Consider the following 21,502-nt stretch of genomic DNA (forward strand, 5'->3'; position numbering starts at 1 on the left):
ACAATTTTAATTTATACACATAGTACCATTCAGGCTATTTTTTCTTGAATACACTTTGGCAGTTTGTGTTATTCAAACAAGTGTCTATTTCGGCCGGGCACGGTGGCTGATGCCTGTAATCCCAGCACTTTGGGAGGCCGAGGTGGGTGGATCACCTGAGGTCGGGAGTTTGAGACCAGCCTGACCAACATGGAGAAACCCTGTCTCTACTAAAAATACAAAATTAGCTGGGCATGGTGGTGCATGCCTGTAATCCCAGGCATGGAGCTACTCTGGAGGCTGAGGCAGGAGAATCCCTGGAACCCGGGAGCCAGAAGTTGCGGTGAGCCGAGATCACACGACTGCACTCCAGCCTAGGCCGCAAAAGCGAAACTCTGTTTCAAAAAAATAAAAGTGTCTATTTTATTTAATTTGACTAATCTATTATCATACAGTTGTTTACAATGTTCTCTTAACTGTTGTTTCAATACCTGTAGGATCTCTAGTGGGCCATCTTTCCATTCCAGATATTGGTAATGTGTGTCTTCTCAATTTCCATCTTTTTTCAGATTAGTCTGGCAAAAAGTTTTTAAGTTTTAAAAATATTTTCAAAGAGACAGTTTTGGGTTTCATTGGTTTACTGTCTTCATTTTGTTTTCTCTTTCATTAATGTTGACTGTGTCATTATTTTCTTATTTTTTGTGCATGTTTGTTTCTTAAGGTGGAAACTGAAATCATTGATTTGAACTCTTTAGTGCAGTCAATTTTCCTCTTTGTAGTGCTTTTTCAGTATCCCAGGAATGTTGCTATTTTGTGTTTATATTTGCTATTTTTTTTTCAGTTAAAAATAATTTCTGACCCCAGTGTGGTGGCACACACATGTAGTCCCAGATACTTGGGAGGCTGAGCCCAGAGAATACTTTGAGCTTGGGAGTTCCAATTCCAGCCTGGGCAATGCAACAAGATCCCATATCTTAAAAAATAAATAAATAAATGCTCTTCTATGTATTTTTTGACACATCAGTTATTTAGGAGTCTCTTAATTTCCTCATACTTGGGGATTTTATAGATTAATTTCTACTATTTATTGCTAATTTAGTTCCACCATGGTTAGAGAATACATTGTGTATTCCCTTAATGATTCTGTATTCATTGAGAGTTGTTTCACATACCAAATCTATCTCATGATTTATCTTAGTAAGTATTTCATGCTCATATAAAATAACGTGTATTATGTTATTAGATAAAATGTTCTAGAAATGTTAATTAAGTCAAGTTGGTTGTTGTTATTCAGTTTTCTATGTCTGTGCTGATTTTCTGCCTATTGTCTCTGTCAATTATTGAGTGAGGGATATTAAAATCTCCAGTTGCAATTATAAATTTGTCTCTTACTCATTGTACTTCTAGTTGTTGCTTTATGTATTCTGAAACTCTGCTATTAGGAACATAAACTTTAGGATTGTTATGTCCTTCTGATGAATTGACCACTTTGTACAAAATGACTTTCTGTACATGTAAAAATGGTTAAAATGGTACATTTTATGTACACTTTATATTTGTATACTTCACCAAAATTAAAATAATTGAACATTAAATTGGGTGAAAAAATAATTTAAAATCAATTGTTTGCAAGTGCCTCCCATAATACCTTTCTTTCTCTTTTTGTTCTTAATATACTCTAGATTGTAATGTTATGATTTATCCCTTTCACTTCTGTTGCAGCCTACTATTTCTCCTCTATGAAACATGGAATTTCCTAGGTTTATAGACTATTACCATCCCAGCCTTTACAGTCTAATCTAAACACTCTTGAGTGACTTATCTTAAATTGACGAACAAAGAAATAAAATTGAAACATTCTGTGCTTACTAAGGTCAAGTTATATTTTTAATCTAATTTATACTATTTGCCAATTAAAATAAGGAGCATTGTCTTCATGAAAGAACAATTGATCTGTTAATGATTTTAGGCAAGGAGAAGTTTATTTTATCTTAATCCAGCCTGTAGAAAAGCATTTCCTTTTCTTTTATGTGGTCTAAATTAAGTAAAAACATCATACTCTGAGCAAAGAAATCATGGAATGGGCCCCTTGCTATTGTGTGCTGATGTTAATATAGAAGAGAGACTTCATGACTGGAAGGCATCCATGATATTAAACAGGCCATGGTGCTGTGAAGTGCTGAGAGTGGTCATGCCGAGCAACAGGCCACAGGAATGCAAATCATCCACAAAGCCAAGAGTGGAGCTAGCAGGTGGCCTCGCCCATTCATCTGATGTCAACACTTTATTCAGCTCAGGCCCCTTTAACATCTGGGAAGGCCCACTATAGCTTTTAATTAAGTAGAATGCAGGCCATGCAGTGTTGCCTTCATTTAAAAAAAAAAAAAAAAAAAAAACCCACAGTCACAAAAAGAGGTATCTTCTATACACTGAGGGTCACTCTCCTTATATAAATAAATATGGGCATTTAACTTAGATTGTATGGAGGTTTTAGTTTCACAGATTTTTCCATACATTATTTCAGCATTTTATAGAAAATATTTATTTGGCTTTGGCGACAGATCAAATTTTCTTTTGGGGAAAAATGAGTTCTTTTAGTTCTCATGATTAACATTTCAGACTTTTGAGATATGTCTACTTTAAGGAGTTTTGGGATAACCATAACATATCATTTCAAAATGAGTTTATAGAAGATTAACCTATAGCAGTGGAAAGTGTCAGGTTATGGAATTAAGTCATTTTCTGAGGTCTGAATCTGAAGCCAAAGTCATTTGTAAGTGTAATTCTGTCTGTAAGTGCATAATACATGCACCCACACACATATTGAATATTTCAAGTTATGTAAAACAAGTCACTGTCAAAAACTATTTAAACCACTACTCTTTAAGAGCCTTTTAAGTGTGAAATTTCTTAAGATACTCATCATGTATAGTAAATATTTAAATTAGAAAGGCCAGCCAAGGTACAAAGTATTTAGAAGGTTCATTTAGAATTTCATAACAAAGATCTTATAATGTAATGAGGTTAGTATTTTCCTTCTTTAGATGTCTTTGAAAGGCAAAATTTTGCTTTCAGAGGTAAAAATGTTCAATGTCTTTGTGGGAAAATATTGTTTTCTCTTGGAAATAGGTTAAACTTTCCTATACAAGTAACCAGTTGTTATAAATTCTAAATTGTTAACCATGACATAATTTTTACAGAGTCTAGTAAAGTATTAAGAGAATCACACTAAGAAATCTTGAAATCATAAATCACATTTTTATATCCACATCCTTAAACCTTTGTCTAACATATAATAGGTATTCGATATGTGTTTGTTAAGAAATAAAGGAAGGAAGAAAGGAAGGAAGTGGGGGTGGTTCTAAGTGTTAAAGATGAGTGACAATATAAAACACGAAAATGATACATATCCATAAAATAAACAGAAAGATGAAACTTTCTTCATTCAAAGTCCTAACTTTTGAGCAGATTGTTCAACAGTCTTGAAAATCCAATTTTATCTGGATTTTGACTGACGTCTTATTCTTTTCTGCTAATTTAACCTTCTATCCTTATGTTTTTCACCTTTTTGAATGCAGACACACCTGCAAAACTTCTTCAAGATCTACATCATAGAGTTCCATTCCAGGCATGCTTATTCAGACTGTCCCATTTAGGAGCCTGATATACATACTATCTATGGAAACATTCCAGATGGTTCTCAGGCCCAACAAATACCAGTAACCACCGCTTTAGCAGCACCAAACTAAATGTTTTTCTTTCAACATACTTTTTTTAACCTCTCTATTTTTACTTATACTCTTCCCTCACCCTCAAATGCTCTTTTCTCCTCCTATTTCTAATCGAAGCTTAAGGATTTCTGCTAAGTTACATATCCCTTCCTCCAAAACTAAGGCCCCTGGAAAAATAATTGTTCTCTGACCTCTCCTAAATCATTTCACTTGTAGTTAATAAAGTTGGTTACTCGAGAATATTTTGCAGCACATTAAATTTGATTCCAAGCTCTCAATGTCAGGAGATCCCAATAAAAGCCATTATTAGAGAACTGCTGTAGTCACTAAGGATTTGTAGGTATTTAGGCTGGGTAGACAAGGGTCATCTTGCCTTCGTTGAGAATGCCCAGGCCCTCAGGCTCATTCAAATGGCTCTCTCCATCCATGCAAAATAAAAAAGTCTCAAGCTCTCTAACCATGGCTGAGTGTCCAGGCTCCATAGGCACAGTACAGAGCTATTCCTCTTTAACCCTGGGAGGGAGGGACTCAGGTTTGGCTTAAGTATTTTTACTTACTCAGTTCCTAGAGTGAGTTTCCCAATGGACTTCATCTTCTATGATACAATCTGCATAGGGATTATTATCAAGACATTCCCAGAAATACATAGGAGTTCCTATTTTCCAATCCACTAAAACGGCACCTAGAATTCTGAACACAGATCTATACTTTTGAGCTCCTTTAAGAAGGCAAATGTACCTGCTATATTTTGCTGTCTCTGTGGCAACAAAGATGAACCACAAAATAACCTCTCAACATATTACCCAACCATAGAATTTTTAACCGGTTACATGGATGTTTATTTCTCTATCTAAAATGTCAGTGATCTTGTTTGAGATTTGTAATTCATTCATCTTGAGTTATATACTAAACTGCTTGGTTATGAGCACTGTGCTAAATGCTAGAGATAAGAGGGAAAATAGAAGCTACCAATCCTCACCCTCATGATGCATATAATCTGGTGAACAACTCAAGCAAGTAAACAGGCAATTACAATATAGGATCCTGTGATGTGTACTTGAAAAGTATAGGAGGCTATGGGGGTATATGAGAAGGGCTGTCTAACCAAGGTTTTCACCTTTAGAACATAGTGCCTGTAGATAATTGGTGACTAATGTTTATTAACTGAATAATTTTAGAAAAAAATTTAAAAATACATTATAAATATCATCACTCATTTTTCAAGGTTGATAGGCCTCTATTGTGAAGGCAACACTTTTAAAATTTATGAAACGGAAAGATAATTCTTTCTCCACTATAATATTAAATTATACTGTTTTAATATTTACCTTCAGAAAAGGGGAATGCTGTGGGGGTCTACTGCTATTATCTGGACTATGGGAGGAATAAATAATATAAAAAACCACACTGATGAAAAAATGTCAATGGCATCAGAATTATGTTCAAGTCTCTTGCTAAGAATTAGGAAGACACAGCCTTATGTGCCCAGCACCATTCAGAAAGACTTGGGTTCTTAAGACCTGGAGTCATTCATCTCTAGATTAAGGTCTGATGGTGAGAGGATGTTGAATCCTGGGGCAAATCGATCCTGTGCAAGGTGAGGTGTCCTAAAAGGTGGTGAATATTTGCACAGTACAGATTAGAAGAAAAGCAAGATTAGGTAGAGTCGGGCAGGTAGTACTTGGTTGACAATGGAGAAATCTGACTTTAAAAAATGAGTGTTCCCAGGCCAGGTGCGGTGGCTTAGGCTTGTAAATCCAGCACTGTGGGAGGCGGAGGCGGGCGGATCACGAGGTCAGGAGATGGGGCCCATCCTGGCTAACACGGTGAAACCCCGTGTTTTTCTGTCTCTACTAAAAATACAAAAAGTTAGCCAGGCGTGGTGGCAGGTGCCTTTAGTCCCAGCTACTCAGGACGCTGAAGCAGGAGAATCGCTTGAACCCGGGAGGCGGAGGTTGCAGTGAGCCGAGATCGCGCCACTGCACTCCAGCCTGGGCGACAGAGCAAGATTCCATCTCCAAAAAAGAAAAAAAAACCGGGTGTTCCCCAAAATAGACCCATGGGTGTACGGGGAAGCACAATTTAACAATGAAATTTTCAATTCGCTATAATTAGTACCAAACTTTGAGAAAAGTTTTATAAAATCATACCACTTTGAATGGTGGTGGTTTGAGGAACGAGACAAGGTAGCAGACTGAATGTGCTATGCCCCACAAAATATTCATTGCTGCTTCTCCTGTAGGACAGAAATATCTTTTTAGAAAATTGGGTCTGGAAACTTGAGGCTGCGACCAGTAATAAAGTGAAAGTTTTTCCATAATGAAGCTGTTAGCACCATGGAAGGCCCAGAGACTGAGGTATGTTTTCACAATACACAACTCAGGAGATAAATGAAATAGCCTCCTCTCTCCTCCTAGTATTTCCTTGAAGAAAGGAGAGGGAAGCAGGTGATTAATTATTCGGATTGACCTTAAGCAAAATTCACACTTCTCTCTCTCTGTTTTCTAATTAGAAACATGACGATATTTTGCCAGTTTCAGTGGACTGATGTGGAGAAGAAATAAATCAGTAAAAGAAGTATAAAAGTTCTATAAAGACAAAAAAGACTTTATCACTGTACATAGGCTAGATTATTCTCATGATATGTAGCAATGATTGGGATCAAGTTTTAAATTGTAAAAGTTCAAGTGCATCCTAAATCAACCTAACAAGAATGTGTTGACCTGTTAAGAATTTCATACATGTTGCTGTGATTAATAAATAACTAGAAAGAAAATTTATGGAATCTTGCCAAAAATGCTGTAGAAAGATGAGCATATTTGAAATTGTTTTCACCAAAAAAGTGTTCTGAGGCTCAAATGGGTATGCTTTTAAAAATATTATATTAAAAATATATGTTAAACTTACCTCCTAATATTGCATCCCTGCTTGTCTTTCATATTTATTGTTACAGAAGATTTTATGTCTGTTTTACTCCTAATTAGTCATGGTTGGTAGGTCATATGGACTTCTGGAAGAGGCTATTCATTAAGGATATTAAAGAATATGTATAATAGATATTTTTATTAATATAGCAATAAATATCCTAAAATTTACTATTACAGACATAAGGTTTTTACTCCAGAATTCAAGTATTTCTTCAGAAATATTCTCTAGCTGACTAATTGAAAGTACTAGTGGAATTTCTTCACCTTATTCCTTGCAAATTGGAACCTCTATCATTTTATTTACCCATTTATATTAACATTTTTCAGATCAAATAAGAAGGTTAGTACTCAACTCTAATTAGGAATTTATTTTGCATGTTTAAAAATTTATTATGATTCAAAGTGTAATAAAAGTTGCCTCTACCAACTTAAATTGAAGAGTAGAAAAAAAACCTGATTTAACCTGTGTAACAAAGGGGAAATAGTATCTTCTATTTTGTATACTTTTTCTTACTCTTTGTGGGGAAAGACAATCTTTCCAACACTCCCATCCTTGCTTTTCTCTAGTTTTTGTCTGAATCTATAGAAGGACTGAGGGGTTTGAGCCATCTCAACATGGTGGAGAAGTGAGCCTTATGGCCACAAGTTAGCTTCTGAATCCATGCTGGTTTCTGCTGCAGTCACAGGTCTGATCTGGCCCCTGCTCATTGTCCGTTTAGATACAGTTATGATACAGAAAGAGAGGCAAATTTTATTGGAATAAAGTAATTGTCAAGGAAGAGCAAAGAAGAATAGTTTGAAGGGGAATTGTTCACACTTTAAGGAAATGTAATGTGACTTCAGAAAGAAGACCCATTTGAGGATGGTGATCATTAATTTATTGAGAAACTAGCGAACATAGCTGCATTTTTCCTCCATTGATTCTGGGGCAAACAGTATAGAGTTGAATCCAAGCAGGGTTGGGTTTTTGCTAAACTAGCTAAAGGTAGAATAGCACGGTTAAGAGAGTCTCAGTCTAAGGAGTTATTGTTTTGATGGCGTCTTTGCTGGGTTAAGGGAGAGATCAAGACTTGAAGGAGACAGAGAAGAGCAAAATGTAGTGGGGCCGATGAATAGGGAAGCATTACTAGAATTGCAGTGTAAGCTGGAAAGTGGAAAGGAGGCATGATCAAAATTAGATTTATACAGGTACTGCAGTTATAATAATATCTAAATATGACAATAGATGTTGGTGACTATGGTAATTGATAATTTGACTACATATGAATCTGGAGTTATATATCAAAACAAATACAAAAATTTGCAGCATATACAATAAAGGGCTAATAAATGTACCAAATATCTTTTTCAAATCAATAAGGAAATGAAAAACATCCCAATAAAATTGGGAAATACAGGCTTAGGCAATTCTCAGAATAGAAATACAAATTAATAATAAATATATGAAGAACTATCCAAGCAAATTAAAGCATCTGTCAAACTGGCAACAATATTTGCAAACTGTAGTATCCAATGTTAGCAGATTTATAGTTATAAAATCACTCTTGTACAATGCTGGTGTAAAGGGTAAATCAGAACAACTTTCTCAAAGTCACTTTGGCAATTATTTTTAAGAATCTAAAAATGTGCATAGCCTTTGACTCACTAATTCTGTATCTAGGAATTTTTTCTAGGACACAATAAGAAATATGCTTCTGATTTTTATTTCAGCATTTATTTCACATTATATTAGTGAAACATTGGAAATATCTTAAAGTTGAAACATCTTACAGGAAATGATTAATGATAGAATGAAATATTGGGCAATCTTTGAATATCATTTTCAAATAAAATTTAATAACCAAAAAATTATTTAGAACGTACTAGGTAACAAAAGCAGGCTACAAAATGCACACAGATATTGTTCCCTGAATAATTATGTGTTCCTGTGCTGTGTTCAGGGTGTTACGTGTGTGTACAGTAGCATGCATAAAGCCTGGAAAACAAACTCAGTTGTCCTTTTATCTGGATGCTGGATGACTTAAAAAATACTTTCAAGCTGGTCTCAAACATAACAAAACCTCATCTCTACACAAAAAGAAAATTAAATAAAAATTAGGAAAATAATTTGAGTAGTATTCATGCCCAAGACCGTATGTGAACACCCAGCTACAGCCTGAGAGCAGTCAAGTAGAAGGAGAGGTGAGATAACAAAGTTAGGAAAAGGAAGTCTTGACATCATTTGGGTTTCTGAATCTAGTCATGCATAAACAGTTCCCTATTATCTTTCCTATGATTTTATTGAATATACAAATATGTTGCTCCCACTTTTTTGTTTTCTGTTTTTCCTTATGTAGATTTCAACTGGGTTTCTATCACTTGAATCAAAGAGTGGTAGACAAGATTAATATAATCACTATTACAAATTACATAACAGTGAATTCTTGGCACATATATCTTTGTCCAATTTTTACCCATTTTCTTATAAGAGATCCCTAAAAGGGACTGAATGTATCAAAATCTTACTGGCTGCTGTGGCAGTTAAAAGAACTGTAGCATAGAGATATCATCCCAGGGCCAGCCAGCCGTATAGGCAGGGGTTCAAAACACGACCATAGGTGAATGTATCCACCAGTTCTTTTTTTTTTTTTTTTTTTTTTTCCAGACAGAGTCTCGCTCTGTCACTCAGGCTGGAGTGCAGTGGCGTGATCTCAGCTCACTGCAATCTACGCCTCCTGGGTTCATGCTATTCTCCTGCCTCAGCCTCCTGAGTAGCTGGGCCTATAGGCGCCCACGACAGCGCCCGGCTAATTTCTTGTATTTTTAGTAGAGACAGAGTTTTGCCGTGTTAGCCAGGATGGTCTTGATCTCCTGACCTTGTGATCTGCCCACCTCAGCCTCCCAAAGTGCTGGGATTACAGGCGTGAGCCACTGCACCCGGCCCGTTGTTCACTTTAACAGAGGTTTAGTTTATTTTGCACGGAACTGCATGGCACCTCTCTCATTTGCTGGCTCAAAAAATATTTATTGCATGCACTCTGAGTGCCAAGTAGTGTTTTAAGTACAGGAAATACACCAGGATACAAAATAAATTTAATTCCTGCCCATATGGATCTAACTTAATGGAGAGGGAGGCAAACAATAAACAAGATAAATGTATAAAATGTCAGCTAGTAATAGTACTAGTAAGTCCAAAAATGGAGTATCGGCATGGAACATAAGTGAAGGATGTGTGATTTTTCAATGGAATCGCCAGAAAAGCCTCGCTGAAGTGATATCTGGGGGAAGAGAGAGGGCTGTGGATATAAGGAGAAAGGGCATTTCACCTAAAAGGTAAAATAAGAACAAAGCCCCTGAAACACGAGGCTTTAGACATGAGGCTTGGATAGCTAGAGATAGGAGAACTAGAGAGAGAAGAATGGGAGATAAGGTCAGAAAGATCATGCAGGAGCCAGACACAGATTTTTAGCTTATACCCTGAAAAAGATGGGAAAGCCCTGAAGAGTTTATAGTAGACAGTAACAACACCTGATTTACATTTTAATTGGATCGCTAGAACTTCTGTCGCCAGGAAGTCTTCAGGAGGCAAAGGCAAAAGCAAGATCAATAAAAAGATGTTGCCTTCACTTTTCTCTCTACCCTTTCTCTATCTATCTATCTATCTATCTATCTATCTATCTATCTGTCTATCATCTATCATCTGTCTATCTATCATTTTAATAGAGACAGGATTTCACCATATTGGCCAGGCTGGTCTTGAACTCTTGGCCTCAAGTGATCCACCTGCCTTGTCCTCCCAAAGTGCGGAGATTACAGGTATGAACAAACCACCATGCACACCCACCCTTTCTCTTTTTAACACACTCCAATGGTGTATTTGCTGTGACTCATTTTCCTATTAAGGACAATAATGATCTCCACCTAGGTAAATTCGGTTGTCCATTCTATTTCATCTTCACAGACCATCAGCACTTTGGCCTTGATACACTTTCTCACTTGGCTTCCAGGATAGCATAATCTCTCCCTTTATCTCCTAACTTACTGGCTTTTCCTTCTCAGTTTTCTTTGCTAGTTTTGCCTCATGTCCCCAGACTCTTAATGTACAGAATCCAAGAGTTCATTTTTTGTTTTCTCATCTCCAACTACACTGACTCCCTGCATGGTCTCATCCAGTCTCCTGGCTTTAGATATCATGTAAATGATAGCAGTTCCCAAGATATCTTTTTACAGAGACTTTTCTATTGAGCTATAACCTCATATATCTGATTATCTGAATAAACTCTCCACCTAGATGTATACTAAACATGTCAAAATCACTCTGCCTAACCAAAATCCTGATGTTCATCCCTAGTCCTTCTCTATCTGCAGCCTTATTTATCTTAGTTATTCCAGTTTCATTCTCTAGGTGCTTAGGCTAGAAACCTTGGGTTCTGAAATTAGGGTTTGAAAAGTGAGCTACAGATATAAATTTTAGAATTATCAGTACACAGATTATTTTCAAAAAATTCCCTAAAAATATGTTTTGGCTGGTATTTAACAGGATAGTCATATAAAGTATTTTTGTTTCTGTAAGGCACTCTTCAATACAAATGTATTTCTTACCTACATCTTATGTTAAATCTATAAACACTTAAACATTTAGTTAATTAGGCAAATAATTATTATAAATAACATTTATAAAGCATTAATTGATGAATGACTGAACTAATACAAAGTATTTATTATATGGCTAAACACAGATTTTCTGAAGAGGTTTGACTAGCTGGTCCATTTGAAGCTAACTAAACTAACAACAGTTATTTATTTTCTTTTCTCCCCTCTTTCTTTCAGATCCTGTAATCAATCTCTTAATAATTTTTGTTTAAGGATGACTTTCCCAAAAAAGGTAAAATCATTACTCTCATACAGATAAAAAATTAGCATCTGTAAGATATCTTACGTAATTCATTATTAATGAAATAAGTGAGCAAGCGTTAAACTGCTCAAAGGAGAAGTCAAAGAACAGACACATTTATGGATAAGGAATATTAAAACGAATTTGCAAATAGACACGAAACTGACTTATTACATAGTGGAGCAGGGAAGTCTCTACTTGACAGAATTTATTTGCATGTCTATAGAGAAAAATTATTTTGGGTCACTAGTAAGTGCAATTTAAGGAGTTGTAAAATAACTCCAAGAGAGTGAAGGGCACAGAGCCCCGCAGAATTAGAATCAGATAAGCCAGGGGAGGAGATTGTAAGTAATGCAGTTTTTCATTGGAGACACCCAGTATTCTTTTTTGCTTATTCCAAATTTTATTCTGTAAATACTTATACCCAGTATCTGTCATACAATAGAATAAAAATCTGAAAACTGGAGAGTAATAACATGAAAAGAGGAAGTTATTATTTTTCATTAATCCATATGTATTTAGCTTCTTCATAAGAAATGAAAAGTTATGTTAAACATAATAAACATACTTTAGTAACAACCATTCTTCAAAAACTTTTATGACATTAAAACATTGTATTTTTGGTTATCAAGTTTATATTCAAATCTTCTATTATCATAATTCAAACCACAATACCTCTAACAGACTATAACACTATTATTCTCTGTAAAAAAAAAAAATTAGCACTTGAGAAAAAATTGGTCTCCATTATCTTAAAGATTATCAATTAAATAACTCCAGTTAAATTTATATATGTGTGATATAATAAAAGATTTCTACTCCTTGTTATCCATTTCTGTCTTAGAGCTTCAAAAAACTTGGAATTTCCTGAGTGGAAATTTTCTGAGTCAGAGTATTTGTTAGGTTAATTAGGTGACTCATTATGGGACCTTACGCAGATTCTGAATGGGAGTTGGTCACTGAAAACACCCACCATATGATTGTGACTAGAGGACTGAAACTTGGGAACAGCTCAGTCTCTGGCAAGAACCAGGGGTACTAGAATTTGAGCTCAATCACATGGCCAATGATTTAATAAATTATGTCTATATAATGAAACCCCAATAAAAACTCTGAACCTGAGATTCAGTGCAGCTTTTGGGTTGGTGAGCACATTGATTTGCTAGGAGGGCAATAGGCCAGATTCTACAGAAGCGCATGGAAGCTCTGTGCCCCTACCCCACCCCAATCTCAGACCTTGCCTATATGCCTCTTCCATTTGACTGTTCCTGATATGTATCATTCATAACAAAACAGTAATTGTAAATACAGTGATTTTGGTGAATTCTGAGTCATTCTAGCAAATTATCAAATCTGAAAGGAGTGGTGAGAACTCTTGATTTTATAACTGGTCAGTCAGGTGCGCCTGTGGCCCTGAGATTTGCAGTTGATATCCGAAGTGAGTGTAGTCTTGTCTTCACAACTGTTTGTACAAACTTGTAAGGCCTGTGCTAACTCTAGGTAGTTAGTGTCAGAATTAAATTGAATTAAAAGGCATCTAGTTGTCAGAGAATTGGTTTTAGAACATATGTAGATACTGAGCAGTGTAGAATATTAAGTCAGCAATAATGGGAAAGTATTATGTTGAAGTATTATATTTAAGAAACACATAAGGAGTGACTGAACTTCTTACTGAGTCTGTCCATGTGCTATTCGATTATCTGCTCAATTCAGTTAAAATAAATCAAGCCACAAAACAAAGTAAGCTCTTCTATCTACGAGTATTGAGATCTATTGCATATAAGTTACAGTAACCTTTGCTGAAGCAACATTTCCAGAGGGTTTCCTTTTCTACCCACATAAAAACATAAAGAGGAAACTTGTGGGCCAGTTCTTCCTACTGCAAAAAGGAAAATGGCAAGTATCCAATGGTTGTGAATAGTGTAAGTGGTAAGCCTGGATGATGTCGGAAAAAAAACTACTTTTTAAGTCATCATATTTCATTACTTACACAATTTTCTGGCATCAGTGCATCTTGACTTCATCTAACCAATTTTTTCAGCCATCTACAAAATAAAAATGTAAGGCTTTTACAAAGAAATATTGGGTAAAATAAATCCAGACATAAACAGTATGTCTGCAGGATTGTTATAGCAGCTCCAATTATAATGAAAGCAATGTTTTTAAGCTTTCTTGCATTATGAACAGAATGCTCCCAGTATTACAGAATCCAGGAGTCTATTTATAATGGTCTCAGCCTCCCTCACTATACCAAATCCTTAGCATGCAAACTGAAGCCAGAAAACCAAGGATCCAAATTACACCATGCAGAATGCCAAAGCAAGTTTCTTTTTCATTTCCTAAAGCGTTAAGACTAAGAATGTAAAAAAAAAAGCTAAAAATATGCTTATCCTTGAATCTTCAAATGTGTAAAATAAAAAGGATTCAATCTCTATTTCTTTATTTCTTGAATCACATATGCATAAAGCAGCACTGAAAGTATTTTAAGCTGATTTTGTGGCAAAGAGGAAGCTTTGCAAAGAACTGAAACAGCACAAAGGAGTTAAGTCCACATAACACATCATCTTTGTCTTGCAAGACACAGTAGAGAGATCTCACTGATTTCAAAAGAAAAAGAAGTGCTATTATGTTAAAAGGTCTAAGCATAAAACTGCTAGAAAACAAAGTACTACAATTATATCTGCTATATGTAAATCTCAGGTAGTGAAAGGAACAAAATGATTAGATGGTTGATGAAAATCACTGTAAAACTGTGCTCTTGATAATGAGTAAAATTGGTTCCTTGAAAACCTTCATTTCCACATAAGTCATAATGAGAACACTGGTTTCATACCTACATGTTGTTAGGCCATTTTACAAACTAAAACACCCAAACTTCGGAATTTGAGCTATTTTTCTTCTGTTTTCCATTTCAACTATTGAATTAGTAGCAAACCATCACAACTGTTTGTTATTACACAAGTTAAAAGCTATGAAGCTCTGAACATATCCATTATAAAAATGTGTTACTTCCTAAAAGTACTAAAACGTTCTTTAGCCTGGAGATGTCCATAGTTTTTCTAATCCAAAAATGAATTCTGAACTGTTTAATTTCATATTTTCAATTTAGAAACAATAAATCAGTAATATTTTAGTAGACATTGGCTTTTGTTTTTTAAACCCAAGATATACATGGATAGATGACCTTCTCCTGCTCAGTAGGCATAAAACTTATAACGTGTAACATCCAACTGGACTCACATAAGTCCTGACACCTCATGCCTACAAGCAGGAGAGATCCTAGGCAAAACTTCAAGGCAAATGAAATGTCTTCTCGTAACCCTTAAGGTCCTTTTCATAGCACTTCACAGCTTCAGAATCCCTTCTGTTCTATGATCCCATTCTTACCAAGGGCTCTTTTGAGATTTTTTATGTTTTAAAGGGCAGTTTCTGAAGAGGGCAATGCTTAACAAAAAGATATAAATTATGTTAGATACATTTCAAGTATTTCATACTACTTGATCAGCTTCCACATTAGGCTCTTTCAGCCTCTGTATAGTGGTGGGGAAAACTGTCTTTATAATAGTGAAGCTAATGATTTAAGAATGCTTAGGATTGATCATTTAACCCAGAAATATTTTCATTAAAAAATGCTGTCTTTGGGTAGATGGCACTTATTCTTTATGAAAGCCTCTTTCTAAAGCTAGAACATTTAAATTATTTTCTTGTTCAACTTATCTATTATCTGTCTCTCTTGCTCTTGTTATATTCCTTTCTCTGCAATTCCATCCTGATTTTAATACTTTATCCTAAACTTCTAACTTTTAAGTTATTTCTTGTAGTATTCATAAACCTAAGTAACCTTGTGAAATTATATTAGAAGACAGTAGGCATTCTTACTGAGAAAATATGAATCTCAAAGACCATTTATTTTAGAAGTAATCATAAACACTACTTTCAAAATTCTCAGTCTTTTTTTATTACAGCACTTGACCTTGGTTAGCCCCAATAAATTCAAAAGTCTTTTAATAGTGACCTAATATTTTCTATTCATTTAAACAATATTTTATTCCTGGTGAATTACTAAGCTTTTCGATCTATTAAATAATCTCTTGTTTTTTAAACTAAATATTTTTTAAGTGTGTTCATAACACATTTCTGAGCAATTTATTTCTACATAAGTAAATAAAATTCAATTTAACAGTGTTACTTTGTTTTTATTATTTCAAATATTTTCAATGTGTTCCTGAATAAGAAGGCTTTTTAGCTTTTAAATATATTTTAAAAAGATAAGAAAATAAGTGCTATATTTTTCTTTTATGACTCTAGCAAGTCTGTAACCACAAATATTCATGTATAATGATTATTTTATTTACCAAACTAATTTGGTAAATATGTGTTCTCTATGGGCATATATAAAGTTCCAATAAAAATTTCACTTATTTGGAGGAAACATTTATAGTAATCTCTAAGTTTTTTTTTTTTTTTTTTTTTTTTTGAGACAAAGTCTCTCCCTGTCGCCTTGGCTGGAGTGCAATGGTGCAATCTCAGCTCACTGCAACCTCTACCTCCAAGGTTCAAGTGATTCTCCTGCCTCAGCCTCCTGAGTACCTGGGATTACAGGCACTCACCACCAAGCCCAGCTAATTTTTTGTATTTTTAGTAGAAAGGGGGTTTCACCATGTTGGTCAGGCTGGTCTCGAACTCCTGATCTCATGATCTGCCCGTCTTGGCCTCCCAAAGTGCTGGGATTACAGGCATGAGCCACCACGCCTGACCAGTAATCTTTAAGTATGTTTTTAATTATGTTATTTGACAAATGAAAAAAGAAACCTATTCCTGTATATCTTAATGTCTACATTAACCTGGCTTCAGTGGTCTTTATGGAATTGTCTTTCTTGTTTACTACAGGAACTTTTGAAAAGACTTATCAACTTTTCAATAGAAGACATAAACAGACAGTTAACCTAACAAGATTCTTTGAACCCCTTGCCTAAAAATCTTGGCATTGCTGCTTGTACCAATTATAGCCTCTTATGTCATAAGAATTTCCCAAAGCTAATCAAGCTTCCTCCTACAACCCCTTCTTCCTGCCCCATTCCCTCCATTGCTTTCTTTAACCAAGTTTCAGAATCTCAATAAAATTCAATCTTGCGCTTCCTAGTCTGAGACATTCCCAAAGCTCTGTTCAAGTGGTGTTCTCCCACACTACAGTGAGCAATAAACTTAACTTTGTCTTATCCACAGTTGGTGATATATGAGGAGCTGGCATTCAACATAAACATAGTTGAAAACATTTTTTCTCTCCCTCAAAATACAAATATTTCTAAATTAAACACAATTTTGGACCTATCATTTAAATTGGCTGGAAAACATACTTTTTTTGGAATCTCTTTGAGAAATTCTAAATAAGTGTGTATTATAGCTTTAAAGCTTTGAAATGGTTACCTGAGTAATATGGTAGTAAAAAGTTCACAGAAAAGACAAGGTTTTTCATGTTATAAACATAGTAATAGAAAGGAATTTTTCTCTAAACTTTTTCCAAGTTATTTTAAAGGTCTGTTTACTGTGTTTTTTATAGAATTTATGAAGTTTTACCACAAAACGCAAAGCATTGAAAAGGTCATTCACTACTATGTTCAAAGGAGTTGGAAAAAATCACAGTTGTGAATTGCCCATCTTCTTTTTAGAGAGAAGAAACATACATTAATTCCTTTAAAAATTGTCATGGTTAAAGTACTTGTGGCAAGACCTTTCTGAAATTTAGATATAGGTCTACATTCATGACTCATTCCACTGGACCGTTCCATATTCCTACAGTGTTGCCCTAATGTAGAACCTCATATACTACAGTTCTGTTCAACAGCAATGACAGAGCCAAACTCATGCTTCTTATTTTGAAAGTCCTGTGTTTCTTAAGGGTAGGATCCTTGTCTTCTACCCATTAAGTAAGCAAGAAGTATTTTAATGAAGCCAGTTAAAGGAATGAGGTAAAGGCAGGCCAAGAAAGTGGAGAGATGTCCAAATGGGGGAAACAAGTGAGAAAGAGCTCCCAGGGTTTATGGACTTCTACTAGAGGGTGAGGAATATGTGGAAACACATGCACTGTTAAGTTCAGTTAAGATGAAACAGGAAGTCAGAGATACAAAGACACACAAGTGTACTTTTATTGTCTAGAATCTTGTAGATCCTTGTCAAGCTCACTTCTTAATTACACAAACACACACAATCATCATATGATGGTCAGTTCACTTATATGCTAATTGGTAAGATTTCTTAAGGATGGTTCTAGTATCCTTTGAAATTAGCTTTAAATTGATGCCAAGGTATGAAACATTAGTTTTTATAACGGCCCATTCTAAGGATGCTTTGCTATTGCTTATTTTGAACTGTGCCTTTATGCTTTATCCCAGGTACAAGTGCCTTTCTTTAAGAAGTATTCAACTTAAACTCCTGTGTGCACACAGGCTTCAGGATATCCTTAAGTGGGTAGATTCCTTCCTTTTTAATTAAAAAATGAGATAGTATCTTTTAGATGCCCTAAAACTTAACTGTACATCTTTTTCATGTGTGTAGGTAAACATTGGTCCAGAAAGTTTGAAATAAATTTTATTATATAGAGTGTGAAGATAATAGTGGGCTATCCATTTGAAAAGTACGTAACACATTTCTGGAGAGAAATTCTGGCAATTATTTGACAGCAGTTTTTCAATTGCCTGGCACCATCACTGATCTTGGTCTGATGTCTCTTCCGGGTCTGCAAGCCCATGATATTAAAACTTTTAGATTTTTATCTACCTTGAAAATATATGTCATTTTAAAAATTAGATAATGAAAAAAGTCAACTATTTTAATACCTGAAAATTTGATTAAAAAAAAACAGTGCTACCAATTTTTGTTTGTTTTCTGTTGTTTTGTTTCATTTGGAGTGGAAAACCTATAGGAGATTTTGCCAGTCATAGAGCTAGTAGAAGATGGAAAAATTGGATCAAGATTAAATGTAACAATTTATAGAATATGCAAAATTTCTAACACAGTCCATACATACCATAGGCTCTCAATAAGTTTAAAACACTCACTAGGCTCTCAATAGTTTAAAACACTTACTTCCTATTCTGTGTTAATGACTACGTACCTATTTACTTGCACTGTATAATCCTCGCACTATGAGAAAAATTAGGATATCATTAATCCCATTTTCCAGCTAGGAAACTGAAGTTAGGCAACTTTCCTAAGGACAAAGAGCTGATAAATGATAAAGGGGCTTTTTAATCTGGCAGTCTGGCTCCAGAGTCCCGGCTTTTAACCACTGAATTATACTGCTGTTTCAATTGTTGTCATTAATACAGTTGCTTACAGTGGGAAATTCTTTAAATATTCATTATATTGACAGATGAAGTAAAGAAAAAGTGGAGATGCATAAAATCAAGATATGCCATTTAAGCATATATAATTTTCCTTGTTTGACTTATATTTTAAAAAGCTATATGAATAGTACCTTTGAAGTTTGACACTTAGGTTTGAATTCTGACTTTCCTAATTACTAGTTTAAGTTATTGCATCAATATCAGATTTGTTTACTCACATTTGAAACCATTTACATGTAAGGGTTATTGCAAGGATTAAGTAAGTTTTAATGCACATAAAATGCCTAGTAGATAATACACACTGAGTAAATGGTTGCTGTTGTAGCAGTCATAGGAGTTTTTATGTTCTTCCTACTCACTCTCTATTTTTTTTTTACTCCCTCTTCTCAAAGGAGAAAAGAAGAGGCACATAGGAAGATCCTGGAATGACCTAGTGGCCTTGGGCTATAACGTATTCAACTGTCTGAGGTGGGAAGACAGGCAGAAACTATACGTGCAAGGCCCTGTGGCCAGAGGAATGATCACTAAAAGCAATGGATTGAAAAGGCAGATAATCTCAACTTTAGAAAGTGAAGAAGCAGATGAGACTGGAGAGGTATCAAGGTACCAGATCACAGGGGCTTGTCAGCAATTTAATGAAGTTAATCTTTATCCTAAGGACACCGGGAAGTCACTGAGAGATTTTTATGCAATAAGGTACATGAACAAATATGCCAGATTCTTATTTGACTGCAGTGTGGAAAACAGAATTAAGAGGCAAAAGTGGCAATCAAACAAATTAGGGTCTGGGTTTTTTTGTTTATTTTTGCAATGTCTAGTCTAAAGAAATACGATCTGGGTCTAGAAAGGTGCTGTGGGAGATGAGGTGCTTTGGGGATCTGCTTCACACTACCTAATAAATTATTACACTAGGAAATGAATTCCGTGGTAAGCATTGTTTTTTCTCATGGCAGCATCATTTCTATCTAAATCAATTATCCCCAATTGTCATCACCCCCACATTCTCTTTTCTCAAGCAATATACTTGCACACTTTTACAAAAGACTTTATATTTCGTTGGACTTAATAAAATAAAAAACCCTCATAAAGAAAAGTCTTTAAAAGAGAGAATAAAAATTATTAATTATAGAATGAACCATAGAGAAAATCTTGTGTCTCTATGTACTTGTTCCAGACAAACAATTACAAATATTTGGTGAAAGAAGTCAAATGGCTTTCTACCTACTTGGTCTATTTTTAAAGTCAGCAGGTATTTTTATTTGTTGTATAAAAATTTATTGAATTTATGAAGTGCCTGTTTGGTGCAATTTTCTATGAGTGACACTATACAAACTAAACAAAATTTTTTTCAAAATTAGAAAGGTTCTTTTTGAGAAGATGCAATTCATTCAAAAGTTTATTTAAATAAATTATGTATTATAATGACTCCAGGAAAAAATATAGCCACCTCTAGAAGTCCTACCCTTCATGGATTTTACCCATTTGCAAAGCAACAATTACATCACAATAAGTAAAAACTAAAGATTCAAGGAAGAACAAATCAGGTTTTCTAACCTAGAATGACTACAGAAGTTAATATTAACTTAAAATTAAAAGCAACATTTTGTCTCACTAGAGACCATGTTATATAGCATATAAAGGACTTATTTTGAATTGTAGCAAATGTAAACTGTAATGTCATCCTTATTATTTAAGGGGTCTCAATTTACTTATCTGTGAGGATAAGCATATTCACTTTGAATTGTGGGGACTGGAGGAAATAATGTATGCTAAATGTCTAGCTTGGTGCCTAACACATAAATGGAATTAACCATAATTAACACACTGACAGGCAGATCCCAAACTAAATCTGCATTTGAGACCAATACCTTCTCTATCTCAAATATGGATTCATTAGAATAAGCAATGTAGCACATTATTGAATGCAGGATTTGGGGTAGATATGCCAGAAATGATAAAGAAGCAGGGATGGATTGTTGCGGGGATAGGAATGGGCAGCATTTCTGAGTAGTGTGGTTCCTGATCTGAGATTTCTTTTTTCCCTGGGTAGGAAGAAAAAATATATAGAAAATTTACACATTTAAGATTTTGCATTAATTTAAAATTGTTACAACATCCTGGAGAATTAGACTAATCTCACCCATGAAAAACCTCACCTTTAGAATAAGAATTTCAGTGTAGAATGATTTAATCAAAATGTTAAAATAATAGCCAAGGATTCATAGAATCCTTCATAGAACAGCGCACTGTGTTTTAAAAGTGTGCTGTAGTTGCTGTGGATTTTCCTATCATTTAGGGTCAGGATGTGAGGCTAGACAAAAGGGTACAGATGATTCAAAACCACTAGATTGATTTACTTTTAACTAATTATAATTAATATCACTTCAAGACTGTTTACATTTCTGCTGTCATCCATATGCATTAGCACCAGGTTAATGTGATAACCATGAACCAAATAATAGCTTGCATAAATCTCCACTGTATTCAGATAGTAAAGTCCATTGCCCTGTTCTTACTTCCTGGAAACAACCTTTGATCTTCAGATCAACAGTAAAAATAATTACTGGCATTGGCCAAACCAGGATTAGTCATTTCTGTTCTGAGTAGCTGCACAGCTGGAGACAGATGTGCAGGTCTCTTTGCACA

General features: G+C 34.9%; 1 annotated feature.

Moving 5' to 3' along the window:
• Window positions 1,939-2,459: an enhancer, noted in NCBI's record as "OCT4-NANOG hESC enhancer chr6:55558913-55559433 (GRCh37/hg19 assembly coordinates)". NCBI's record gives its function as "activates a minimal SCP1, AML or CMV promoter by ChIP-STARR-seq in naive H9 embryonic stem cells {active_cell/tissue: H9 hESC(naive)}" and the evidence as "EXISTENCE:reporter gene assay evidence [ECO:0000049][PMID:30033119]".

Source organism: Homo sapiens, chromosome 6, assembly GCF_000001405.40.
Source record: "Homo sapiens chromosome 6, GRCh38.p14 Primary Assembly".
NCBI classification, from domain to species: domain Eukaryota; kingdom Metazoa; phylum Chordata; class Mammalia; order Primates; family Hominidae; genus Homo; species Homo sapiens.